Source organism: Homo sapiens, chromosome 2 (genome assembly GCF_000001405.40).
Source record: "Homo sapiens chromosome 2, GRCh38.p14 Primary Assembly".
NCBI classification, from domain to species: domain Eukaryota; kingdom Metazoa; phylum Chordata; class Mammalia; order Primates; family Hominidae; genus Homo; species Homo sapiens.
Window position 1 is genome coordinate 232,714,228 of NC_000002.12, and position 13,637 is coordinate 232,727,864.

The 13,637-nt window shown below is 40.3% G+C and overlaps 1 protein-coding gene across 7 annotated transcripts in view; it reads left to right on the forward strand.

Annotated features, from left to right (window-relative positions):
- The window catches only part of GIGYF2 (GRB10 interacting GYF protein 2), a 163,275-nt gene that overhangs the window by 16,897 nt on the left and 132,741 nt on the right, over positions 1–13,637 (forward strand). Inside the window, exon 4 of one of the 7 annotated variants that reach the window (NR_103493.2) lies at positions 10,347–10,464. The exons of the other annotated variants lie outside the window; for them this stretch is intronic. The gene's annotated coding sequence lies outside the window, so the exon portion shown is untranslated. The remainder of the gene's footprint in view (positions 1–10,346; positions 10,465–13,637) is intronic. 7 annotated transcript variants of the gene reach the window in all.

The window sequence follows — 13,637 nt, forward strand, 5'->3', positions numbered from 1 at the left end:
GGCGTGAGCCACCATGCCGGACCGAGGAACTGATTTTAAAATTTTGGTTAATCTTAATTTAACTTTACATAGCCACATGTATGTGGCTAATGGGTGCTGTGTCAACAGTACATTTGTAGATAATGTTCTTCAGTTTTAAGTTTTAGCTAAAACTTTAACATCTGTTTTAATACCTTTAAAGAAGGTAATTTAACATAAAAAATATTAAAGCTTAGTCTTGGAATACATTGCTTTTTTGGGGGGTGCAGTCTATTTACTTTTAGTAAGTTTAGTCTTTTTAAAAAAGAACTTTTCTGAGGTAAAATTTACATACAATAAAATACCTTTATTTTAAGTATACTCATTAAGTGTACATTTTGATGAGTTTTCAGAAATGCACACACTGATGTAACTGTTACTGTAATCAAGATATGTAACATTTTCATTATCCCCAGAAGTTTCCCCCAGCTGTTTTGTAGTCATTTTTCCTCCTCCACCACTGTTCTGTTTTCTGTGACTTATTGATTAATATTTGCGTCTTCTAGAAATTCATGTAAATGGAAATCATATTTAGGTCTGGCATCTTTTTTTTTTTCCTATTTTAATACTTTTATGTTCAGGGGTACATGTGCAGATTTGTTACATAGGTAAATGTGTGTCATGGGGGTTTGTGGTATAGATTAGTACCCATTAGTTATTTTTCCCGATCCTCTCCCTTCTCCCACTCTCCACCCTCCACCCTCTGAGAGGCCTCAGTGTGTGTGGTTTCCCTGTGTGTCCATGTGTTCTTATTATTTAGCTGCCACTTTTAAGTGAGAACATGCGGTATTTGGTTTTCTGTTCCTGCATTGGTTTGCTAAGGATAATGGTCTTCAGTTCCATCCATGTTCCTGCAAAGGACATGATCTTTTTCTTTTTTATGGCTGCAGGGTCTGGTATCTTTTGCTTAACATAATTATCTGTGATTCATCCGTATTGCTGCATGCAAATAGTTTGTTTTTTAATGCCAAGAATTTTCCAAGGTATGACTTTACAGTATTTGTTCATAACATTATTTATGAACATTTGGATTGTCCTCAGTTTTGGGCTATTAGACGTAAAGCTGACCTTAATTTCATGGCATAGGTAATGATTCAGAATTGTATTGGGTTGCAGTGTTTATCACAATACTGTAAATTAGAAATTTAAATTCCTGTTAGGAAGGAGAAAAGCCAGCAGTAATTGTAATTACAGATAAGCAGTATCTGTAATTTTTTTGAAGACATGCCATAGAAAGAATAATTCACATAGAAATAATGTTTTGCAAGGTTTCATGTATAGTGTACGGGCCAGGTAGATGTAGACAATTCCTTGGACTTTTGTTGGCTTTCTGGGAAAAAAAAAAAAAAGTTCTTTGTTAATTCCTTAGGTAAAATGTTTAGTAATAAAGTGAATATTGAAGCCTAAGTTTGCTTCATGAAGTTTTGTCATCAGTAAATGTGTTAACAGATCATATTTTAAAAGTTACTCAAAAATGTTGGTGTATTTATTAGTGAAGAGATTTAGTATTGCCAGATGAGGTGGATGCCGAAGGAAAAGGTGTTTTCTGTTATAATAGATGGGAGAAGAATTTCCTTTTTTTTTTTTTTTAACCTTAAAATTCGTCTTAAACCAAGTTAAAGTTGAAATGAGTGATAACTTTTATGACATTTATGTTGGGACTGTAAAAGTATTTCAACAGGCCAGGCCTATGCTTTTTGTGATAATTAAAATACATTTTGTTATAAAGTAATTAAAGAATATTGCAAGTTATGAGAGTAGAGGACAAATCATTAATTTCACCTCACTAATATTCCTTTGTCTTGTGTTCTTTTTGCCTTTTTTTGGACATATGTATAACTATACTGTGTGCAGATGTTACTATAGCTGTCTTTTGTTGAGTGAATGTGCCACTTTTACAAGATTGCTTCCAGTCTTTTACTATTATAAGTAATGTGGGTCCCCCTCATGTTTGGACTTTTCCTTTTCATCTTACTTAGCTGTTTTCTGACATTTGAAAAAAAGCATTTGAAGATCTACATTCTTTTAGCCTAGTAAATGAGTCTTGCTTCATTTGAATGTAGGCCTCTTTATGGTCTTAGGAGCTGACAGATTTGAAGATTATTTTATCAAGATAATGGTGTTATTTGTTTTTTTTTTTTTTTTTTTTTTGAGACAGAGTCTCACTCTGTCACTCTGGCTGGAGTGTAGTGGCACGATCTCGGCTCACTGCAACTTCCACCTCCCGCGTTCAAGCAATCCTCATGCCTCAGTCATCCCTACTAGCTGGGATTGCAGGCATGTGCCACCACACCTGGCTAATTTCTTTTTGCATTTTTAGTAGTAATGGGGTTTCACCATGTTGGCTCAGCTGGTCTTGAACTCCTGGCCTCATGTGATCTGCCGCCTTGGCCTCCCAAAGTGCTGGGATTACAGGCATGAGCCACTGCGCCTGGCCAGTGTTTTTTTTGTTTTGTTTTGTTTTTTCTTTTCTAATCGCAAAAATTTAAGCAGGGAATGAATTTAATATGTTATCGGAAGACATTCATTTAAAATAGTTTAAATAGCTTTGTTTCATGCTCACTGAAGTTTTTTTTTTGATACAGGGTCTCACTTTGTAGCCCAGGCTGGAGTGCAGTGTCATGATCACAGCTCACTGCTGCCTCAACCTCCTGGGCTCAGGTGATCCTCCAACTTCAGCCTCCCCAGTAGCTGGGACCACAGGCTAGCACCACCACACCTAGCTAATTTTTGTTGTTTTTTTTTTTTTGTAGTGATGGGGTTTTGCCATGTTGCCCAGGCTGGTCTCAAACTCCTGGGCTCAAGCAATCCAGCTGCCTCGGCTTCCCAAAGTCCTGGGATTACAGGCGTGAGCCACCATACTTGGCCTTGAAGTATTTGTAATTGCTAAAGCATTTATGATTTATTTAACACAACTGGAGCTGGGCATAGTAGCTCATACCTGTAATCCCAGTGCTTTGGGAGGCTGAGGCAAGAGGATCATTTGAACCCAGGAGTTTGAGGTTACAGTGGGCTATGGGCACAGCCCTGCACTCTAGCCTGGGCAACAGTGTTGAGACACTGTCTCTAAGAAACAATAATAATAATTGATAGGTAAAATATGGTAAATACATGCACAAATGTGAAGTTTATAGTTCAATACATTTTTACATGTACATATACATGTATATGTACTTTTGTAGTCACCACTTAGATCATGATAGTGAACTTTTCCAGCACTCCAATTCCCTCTCCTTCCTGTTTAGTAGTCTCCTCTTCCCATGATGAGTACTTTCCTGACATCTATCACCATTTATTATCTATTTGTCTTAGTCTGTTTGTGTTGCTATAAAGGAATACCTGAGACTGGGTGATTTATAAAGAAAAGAGGTTTATTTGGCTCATGGTTCTGTAGGCGGTACAAGAAACATCTGCTTCTGGTGAGGGCTTCAGGCTGCTTACACTCATAGTGGAAAGCAAAGGGGAGCCAGTGTGTGTAGATCTCATGGTGAGGGGAGCAAGAGAGAGAGAGAGGAGGGAGGTGTCAGGCTGTTTTTAACAACTAGCTCTCTTGGGAACAAATCAAGTAAGGACTCACTCATTACTGTGAGAGTGGCACCAAGGCATTCATGAGGGATCTGCCCATAATCCAGACACCTCCCATTAGACCTCACCTCCAGCATCTGTGATCAGATTTCAACATGAGATTTGCAGGGGTCATATACCCAAACCATAGTACTCTTCTTGAACATCACATAAAAGGAATCATACAGTATATATTTTTTTCTAGCCAGCTTGTTTTTCTAAACATGATATCTGGGTGATTTCGCAGTATCATTGTGAATATCAGTAATTTTTTTTGTTGTTGTTGTTTGTTTTTTGAGACGAATTCTCACTCTGTTGCCAAGCTGCAGTGCAGTGGCAAGATCTTGGCTCACTGCAGCCTCACTGCAACCTCCACCTCCCAGGTTCAAGCTGTTCTCCTGTCTCAGCCTCCCAAGTAGCTAGGATTACAGGCGCCCACCACCATGCCCAGCTAATTTTTGTAATTTAAGTAGAGACAGGGTTTCACCGTTGTTGGTCAGGCTGGTCTCGAACTCCTGACCTCACGCGATCCACTCACCTTAGCCTCCCACAGTGCTGGGATTATAGGCATGAGCCACCGCACCTGACTAGTTCCTTTTTTTAAACTGCTGAGTAATATTTCATTATATGAGTATACTGCAGATTGGTTTGCCTGTTGATGTACATTTACATTGATGGACATAATACCCAAATGTCAGTTTTTGACAATTATAAATAAAGCTACTATGAATCTCTTGTCTTTTGGTAGAAATATAACTTCAGTTTCCTTGGATGTATGTGTAGCAGTTTGTTATGGGATCACAGGGTAGGCATACAGTTTAGATTTAATGGATATTGCCAATTCTTTTTGAAGTAGTTGAACTAATTTGCACTAATAAAGTTATTAATCTTGTGTTATCTTAATCCAGATCTGGCTAAACTAAAAATTGCTGGCTGCTGTGGTGGGGACAGAACTACTGATTCGTTTAGTATATGTGGAGAGTGCTAGAGGAGTTGGTCTTTTTTCTGCTTTTGGAAAAACGTAGGTAGGCAGTGGGAATGGGGGCAGATTCAGGTTCCTTGGTATTCATTCTGTGTTAGTTTTGTGGCAGACTATACATAGTACTGGCTGGACTCCATCCCAAATTTTGCCATATTTTTTCTGGGTAAGTTTTGCATAGCTAGGAAATAGAGATTTGTAGTAGCACTTTTTTTTTTTTTTGAGACGGAGTCTCGCTTTGTTGCCCAGGCTGGAGCACAGTGGCGTGATCTCGGCTCACTGCAAACTCTGCCTTCGAGCAATTCTTCTGCCTCAGCCTCCCGAGTAGATGGGATTACAGGTGAGAGCCACCGTGCCGGCCACATAATTTTTATAACAAAGATCCAGGGGGTTTTCAAAGATGTGTATGTTTTGAGTTCTTAGTGGAATAGTGGTGGTAGCTAATCTGTCTTCAAGACTTCTGGAAAGCAGTATTCGGGAACACTGTCAAAGTTAAGTATCAGACACTGTGCTGGAATCTGACTCAGCACCTACTTTGGCTTCTCCTTGCTGATTTTACCCACATGGGACTTACTACGTAGATTTGTCACCTTTTTTTTGAAAGTGATTTCCTGAGCTCAGAAGTTGCTTGGTTCCTCTAGGCTGTTCCAGGCTGTAAGAAAATGGTAGGCTAAGAGGGAGAGGTCAGAGTCTGTCTTTTCTTTATTGTAAACTCAACAATAAGAAGGACCTAGGTTGATTTCTTTTCTTTCTTCTCCTGTGAAAATGTACTCAGAGGCCCACAAAGTGATAGATGAGGTCCCAAAGAGGAGATGAATAGTTAAAATAAAGAGGAAGTCATGGAAATTATAGAAAAATATAGGGAGAAAAAGAAAAATAATTATACTAATAATCAGATAAAATAACTTACAGTGAGGTCTAAATTTAGCTCAGTTATTTAGAAGTTGACAAAAAGTCTAGCTTATATAATATTCACTGTCAAGTACAAGGATACAATTTATTGAAGAAGACAGCTTATTGGTATTATTGCATAAGGAATATATTACTTGAAGTCACTTATGTGTAATTTTGAGTAATGGACAAAGTCTGAAAAAGCAGTTATGTAGAAATATTCTCTCAGCTGTTTTTTTTTTGTTATAGATTAAGTTCTAGGGTACATGTGCACAACGTGCAGTTTTGTTACATAGTTGTACATGTGCACAACCTGCAGTTTTGTTACATAGTTGTACATGTGCCATGTTGGTTTTCTGCACCCATTAACTTGTCATTTACATTAGGTATTTCTCCTAATGCTATCCCTCCCCAAGTCCCCCATCCTATGACAGGCCCCAGTGTGTGATGTTCCCCACCCTGTGTCCAAGTGTTCTCATTGTTCAATTCCCACCTGTAAGTGAGAATGTGTGGTGTTTGGTTTTCTGTCCTTGTGATAGTTTGCTCAGAATGGTGGTTTCCAGCTTCATCTGTATCCCTGCAAAGGACATGAACTCATCCTTTTTTATGGCTGCATAGTATTCCATGGTGTATATATGCCACATTTTCTTAATCCAGTCTATGATGGACATTTGAGTTGGTTTCAAGTCTTTGCTATTGTGAATAGTGCTACAATAAACATATGTGTGCATGTGTCTTTATAGTAGCATGATTTATAATCCTTTGGGTATATACCCAGTAATGGGATCGCTGGGTCAAATAGTATTTCTAGTTCTAGATCCTTGAGGAACTGCCACACTGTCTTCCACAATGGTTAAACTAGTTTACACTCCTACCAACAGTGTAATATATATATATATATATATTTTTGTTTGTTTGTTTGTTTGTTTGTTTGAGACGGAGGCTCACTCTGTTGTCCAGGCTGGAGTGCAATGGCGTGATCTCAGCTTACTGCAACCTCTGCCTCTCAGGTTCAAGCAGTTCTCCTGCCTCAGCCTCCTGAATAGCTGGGATTACAGGCATGAACCACCATGCCTAGCTAATTTTTGTATTTTTAGTAGAGACGGGGTTTTGCCATGTTGGCCAGGCTGGTTTCGAACTCCTGGCCTCAATCGATCTGCCCACCTCAGCCTCCCAAAGTGCTGGGATTACAGGCATGAGCCACCGTGCCCTGCCTCTCTCAGCTGTTTTTAAGTCAAGTCTTTAAAATATGTGATAGACCTACTTGTTTGAAGTCCTTATCCCTAGAGTTGGAATAGCCAAAGAGAGAAAAGGCCAGAGGAGGGAGGGAAGAACCCGATCATCTTCTCTGTCAGAGTTGCTTTCAGCATGAGAAAGATATGCTAATAGGGTGGTCTCAGAACTAACAATATTTTGCCCACATTCCTTCAGAGGCACTGTCTTTTTCTGACTCCTTCCTCAAAGGTTTGAGTGCCCCTGTCTTTCAGAGATGTGAGGACAAGTTCTCTCAGAATTCCTGAGACCTGCCAATTCCACTATGCCATGCATTCCTGTCATCTGTCATTGTCCAGAATGAAAGTCCATCTGATCTTCATACCACTCAGAGTTTCTTCTTCCCTTGACCAAATCTCTTGTTTAATTCCTAAGGCTTTCCTCTTGAATTCTCTGAAATGTTATTTTTGTGTTAAACCTCTCCCTCGTGTTCATAAGATGTTTTTTGGCTTTCTTGTGGTAACTTAAGCCCATCTGCCCTGGTAATCTTACCTTTCCTTTAGCCCTCTGAGGTTAGCAGTAGGTTTTCTTGCACTATGGTATGTCAGGATGCAGAATCAGGGTCTTCATCCTTCTCCATTCACAGGCTCATTCTATTCCTTTATTAGGGTGGCCCTTCTGCCTAGCTTGCTGTTGTTCCTTTATGCAGTTCCTTAATATCCTTTCACACATTTTCTAGTTTAGGTGATAGATCATACACGGTCAGGTTAGCCATTTTTTCTCTATCTTTGTGCAAAACTCTCTTTCCTCTGAAGTTCATGCTGTTTGACAATGCATCTCTCTTCCCTTCCTTATTATCAGAAAAGGACCCTGTGGTCTTACCCTTTGATTCATTGTTTTTTCTATTTTTGTCTCTGCCATTATCCTGAGGTTACTTTAGAGTCTATGTAGCTGATCCATCTGGTCCTCCCATGTTCCTGGTTTCTTGTCTTTTACTTTCATCTCTAGTTCTACTAGTGCTTTCATTTTTATTTCTACTATACTTGCTTTTTGGCATTACCAACATCTTAAATTTGTCAACTCTCTTCTGTTTTTACACCCTTCCCCATAGTGTCTAAATCACACTTCTGCCAGCACCCTCTACTTTGCCTTCTTATTCTTCCCTTTACCGTGCTGACAAAACCCTAACCCTGGTTTCCTGTGGGCTCTCTGCCCCATACTCAGGCTGCTAAGTTGGAGAAAGAAGCCCACAACCACCTTGCAGATTAGCTTCCCTCTTGTATTAGCCCATTTTCATATTGCTGTAATGAACTGCCTGAGACTGGGTAATTTATGAAAGAAAGAGGTTTAATTGACTCACAGGTTTTCATGGCTGGGGAGGCCGCAGGAAAGTTACAGTCATGGCAGAAGGAGAAGGGGAAGCAAGGCACCTTCTACACAAGGCAGCAGGAGAGAGAAGTGCCAACCGAAGCGGGAAGAGCCCCTTATAAAACCATCAGATCTGATGAGAACAGCATGGGGGAAACCGCCCCCATGATTCAGTTACCTCCCCCTGGTCTCTCCCTTGACACGTGGGGTTTACAGGGATTACAATTCAAGATGAGATTTGAGTGGGGACACAAACCCTAACCATATCACTTCTCTATCTTTATTGGTCTTTAGAGATACTGTAGCTAAGTGCAACAAGGTGTCCTGAATTGGAGACTGGCACAGAACAAGGATGTTGTTGGAAAAACTGATGAAATCTGAATAAACTCTGAAGTATAGGTAATAGTGATGTATCAATGTTGGTTTCTTAGTTTTGACAAAGTATTGTGTAATGTAAGTTGTTAACATTAGGGGAAACTGACGGTACTTTCTGTATTATCTTTGTAGCTTTTTAAACTATAATTTCTCAAGTTTATTTAAAAAAAACAAACAAACTCTAGCATAGAACACAGCAGCTATCAATTTCTTTAGTTTCCTCAAACCCTACCTTATCATCTTCTCTGTCATTTGCCTACTTTTCTGAGAAGATTGAAGCCATCAGTTTGATGAATTCCCCTCAGTTTCCTTTATTTTTGTTTTTTTGTTGGTTTGTTTATTTTAAAATTATTTTTTATGTAAGTTTTGTAGAGACAGGATCTTGCTGTGTTTCCCAGCCTGGTCTCAAACTCCTGGGCTCAAGCAATCTGCCTACCTCAGCGTCAGTGCTGGGATTCCTGGCATGGACATTAGCTTGGCCTCAGTTTCCTTTTAAATTCCCCTACCCCCTTCAATAAAACTCTACATAACCTTGGAAGCATTCTAAGTCATTTGGATCTACTTTCCTCTGGTTACAAGTAGATAGGAGCAGTTTTTGTTTCTGTTTGTTCTGTGAAACCCTAATACTTCCTGCCTTCTCAGAGATTTCATTTACATAATATTTTTATTGAATTATTAAAATTCACCTTTTGACTCTGCTAGTAACTTTCCATTGGGAATATATCTAAAATAAAAAAATGGAAATTTTCTTTCCATTCTTTCTCTTCTCTCTTCCACAGCTAAGATTCTTTTCTTTTCTTTTTTTTTTTTTTTTGAGACAGAGTCTCGCTCTGTCACCCAGGCTGGAGTGCAGTGGCACGATCTCAGCTCACTGCAACCCCGCCCCCTGGGTTCAAGCGATTCTTCTGCCTCAGCCTCCCGAGTAGCTGGGAGTACAGGTGCACGCCACCATGCCCAGCTAATTTTTGTGTTTTTAGTAGAGACGGGGGTTTCAACATATTGGCCAGGCTGGTCTTGAACGCCTGACCTCGTGATCCACCTGCTTTGGCCTCCAAAGTGCTGGGATTACAGGTGTGAGCCACTGTGCCCGGCCTTTTTTTTTTTTTTTTTTTTTTGAGATGGAGTTTCGCTCTTGTTGCCCAGGCTGGAGTGCAGTAGCACGATCTCGGCTCACCGCAACCTCCGCCTCCCGGGTTCAAGTGATTCTCCTGCCTCAGCCTCCTGAGTAGCTGGAGGCTTTTGCAGGCTTTTGCCACCACGCCTGGCTAATTTTTTGTATTTTCAGTAGAGACGGGGTTTCTCCATGTTAGGCTGGTCTCGAATTCCCGACCTCAGGTGATACGCCTGCCTCGGCCTCCGAAAGTGCTGGGATTACGGGTATGAGCCACTGCGCCCAGCCTTCCACAGCTAAGATTCTTATTTTTGAGATGGAGTCTTGCTCTGTCACCCAGGCTGGAGTGCAGTGGTGTGATCTCAGCTCACAGCAACCTCTGCCTTCCGGGTTCAAGTGATTCTCCTGCCTCAGCCTTCTGAGTAGCTGAGATTAACAGGCGCCCGCTGCCACACCTGGCTATTTTTTTTTTTTTTTTTTTTTTGTATTTTTAGTAGAGACGGGGTTTCACCATGTTGGCCAGGCTGGTCTTGAACACCTGACCTCAAGTGATCCACCCATCTTGGCCTCCTAACGTGCTGGGATTGCAGGTGTGAGCAACTGTGCTGGCCTCACATGTAAGATTCCTGAAAGAGTTGACTGCATTTGTGGTCTTCCCTTCTCACCTCCCAGTCATGCCTCACTCCATTGAAATCTGGCTTTGTCCCCACGGCACTCCTAACTGCATTCTTCAGATCATCAATAAGTTAGTTTTCGAAGCCAATGAAGAATTTTCAGTCTTTCTCTTTTTTGGCTTAAATATCTGAAACATTTTTTTTTTCCTTTTAGAGACTGTCTCGCTCTGTCACCCAGGCTAGAGTGCAGTGGTGCTATCGTAACTCACTGGAGCCCTGATCTAGGCTCAAACCATCCTCCCACCTCAGCCTCCCAAGTAGCTGGGACTAAGGCAAGTACCACCATACCTGGCTAATTAAAATTTTATTTTTTTGTAGAGATGAGCTCTCACTATGTTGCGTAGGCTGATCTCAAACTTCTGACCTCGAGTAATCCTCCTGCCTCAGTCTCCTAAAGCTTTGGGATTACAGGCGTGAGCCACGGCACCTGGCCTAATATTTGAAACTTTCAAATACTTCCCTTAAAAAAAATGTACCACTACCATCTTTGTTGTATGCACAAATTAGAAACTTAATAGGAAAAGAGAATTATCCATAATCCTACCACTTAGAAGTATTAACATTTTGGGGCATATCTATATATATCCAGTGTATTTTAAAATATTTTAAATATAATCATATTCTCTGTATTCTGTAACTTGTCTTGAACACTTAATATGTTGTTGGTAACCTTTCATGTCGGTGAAGTTTAGTTACTCATCATCTTACTCTTCCCTACTAGATTGAATTCATTCTCCTCCAGGTAACTATCCTCAGTCATCTTTCTAAAGTACAAATTTTGTCCTGGAAACTTTCCTGCCCAAGTCTTTTCATAACCTTTCATTTCCCTTGGAATATGAAATGCAAAGACTTTTGTGATGTAGCCACTGCTTTACCAATCTTCACATTAGTTTTTTAGCCTGTTGAACAAATTGATTATCTTCCAAAAGATCCTAGGTCTTTCTTCTTTACCCTTTCCTGCACCTCCCCCTGTCCCCCTTTATCCTTAAAGACTGCCTCATTCTTAGTATATGGTTTTTGGAGTCCTTATAATACAGGTTTGACCTTGTGTGAGCTGCTTAACTTTTCTCTGTGCCTCATTTCCTCATCTACAAAATTGGGCCAAAGAATCTATGTCAAATTAAGCGAATACATATGAAGCACTTTGAACTCTTAGTAAGCACATAGTTAGCTCTCAATAAATGCTAGCAAATATTATAATTCAACAGATCTTCAGTGTTATGCTTCTCATTTTAGGATAATCTTCCCAGTATTCCCAGAGCTTACTTCGCATAGTTCATTGTAGTCCTTATCACATGGTACTCATTGTTTTTTTATTAGACTGGCGCCTTGAGGGCAGGAGTTATCGTATTCCTTGTTCATAATGCATCCAAGTAATCTGGTTAGGGGTTACCAGATAATATTAGCAGTATCCATTAGATTGTTATGTTGGATCAAAGAAAATATTTCATGGGATTTTGTTTAGAAAATCTACCCTTATTTATATATTTCTGTATATGAAGTGTGTTATTCTGTAGAAGAGGTTGGGGCTACTTGTAAAAGTTTGGAGACCGGGAGAGCTCAGGACATGGATCCTTTGGCCAGCCCTTCAGGTGGCCAGTAGTAGTAATGGCTTTTTAACTTTTTGCAGTTTGGAGTTTAAAAGGTAAGCAAGATGAGGCTGGGCGCCGTGGCCCACACCTGTAATCCACCTGTAATCCACCACTTTGGGAAGCCAAGGCGGGTGGATCACTTGAGGTCAGGAGTTTGGGACTGGCCTGGCCAATATGCAAAACCCTGCCTCTACTAAAAATACAAAAATTATCTGGGTGTGGTGTTCGGCGCCTGTAATCCCAGCTACTGGGGAGACTGAGGCAGAAGACTCGCTTGAACCTGGGAGGCGGAGGTTGCAGTGAGCCGCTGTCGCACCACTGCACTCCAGCCCCAGTGACAGAGCAAGGCTCTGTCTCAAAAAAAAAAAAAAAAAAAATCATATGGGAGCACACCCTTCTCCCCACCGCCAAATACCCTTTGTTAAAAATTTTAAAAAGAGCAAAGTAAATAAGCCACAGTGGTGCATGCCTATAGTTTCAGCCACTGGGGAGGCTGAGGTGGGAGGATTGCTTGAGCTGAGGAGTTCAAGTCCAGCCTGGGTAACAGTGAGACCCTGTCTCAAAAATATAAAAGTTAAAAAATAAATAAATAAGAGAGTTTTTTGTTTTTTTAGTTTTTAAATAGGTCCTATAGCTTTTGAGGATTTGAGATTTCTACTAGGTTAAAATTTATTTTAAAATATACGTGACAAGATTTCGAAAGTACAAAAAGATAACTCAGTGGAAGATAGATCTTGCCCGCTCCATACCTCTAGTTCTTCTTTCTAGAGGACTATCACTTAGGTGAACTTCAATTTTCTATAAAGAAATCATTATGCACTAAGCAACTGTGATTTTACAAGTCTGTCTAGTAGAGATAAAAGCATAAATATATGAATAAAAGGTTGTTTATTGCAGCATTGTTCATAAAGGCAAAAAAGTAAAGGTCATCCATTTCTGTGGAATGTTACACAGCTTGCTTTTTTTTTGGGGGCGCAGAGTCTTGCTCTGTTGCCCAGGCTGGAGTGCAGTGGCACGATGTCAGCTCACTGTAGCCTCTGCCTCCAGGGATCAAATGATTCTCATGCCTCAGCTTCCTGAGTAACTGGGATTATAGGCGTGCACCACCACACCCAGCTAATTTTTTGTATTTTTAGTAGAGACAGGGTTTCACTATATTGGCCAGGCTGGTCTTGAACTCCTGGCCTCAACTTGATTCACCTTCCTTGGCCTCCCAAAGTTCTGGGATTACAACATGAGCCACTGTGCCCGGCCCATCATACAGCTTTTAAAAACTGCAACTTAACTCTATATCTGTTTATTAGAAGTTTGTCCATGCAAATATATTGAGAGAATTGCCTGTCTCAGAATAAGGTATAGTGTATGATTCTTGCTTTATAATAGCAAATAGCTAATCCCCTTTCCCCACCACATATATGTGAACATGTTTGTCTGAATGTGAAGTATGGAGGGATACACACTAGGCTGTTAACATGTTTACCTCAGGAAATGGGAATAGCGGGGAGGCAAGAGTAATTATGAACTTGGAGGTTAATATGGGTCTATTTTAGTTACAGAGAATGTGGTGAGAATAGTACCTCAGGGGGAGAAAACTAGAGTCAGTGAATTTGAGTTTAGTGAAGGGTTTGGGCTAGAGATCTCTACCTCTGTGGTCTTTCTCTTTCTTCCTGTATCAGCCTGTACAGTGATTGCTGAGGCTTTGTTCCTGTTCTTTCTTGAGATTTCTGCTTTGGGGTAGCCTTATTCAATTTTTGATTGTAACTCTGTGGATTCACTTCCGTTAAATCTGTCTTTCTATTCTGACTACTCTTCAACTCTAGGTCTTTTGGATACTTCCTCAGTCAAGCACCTTG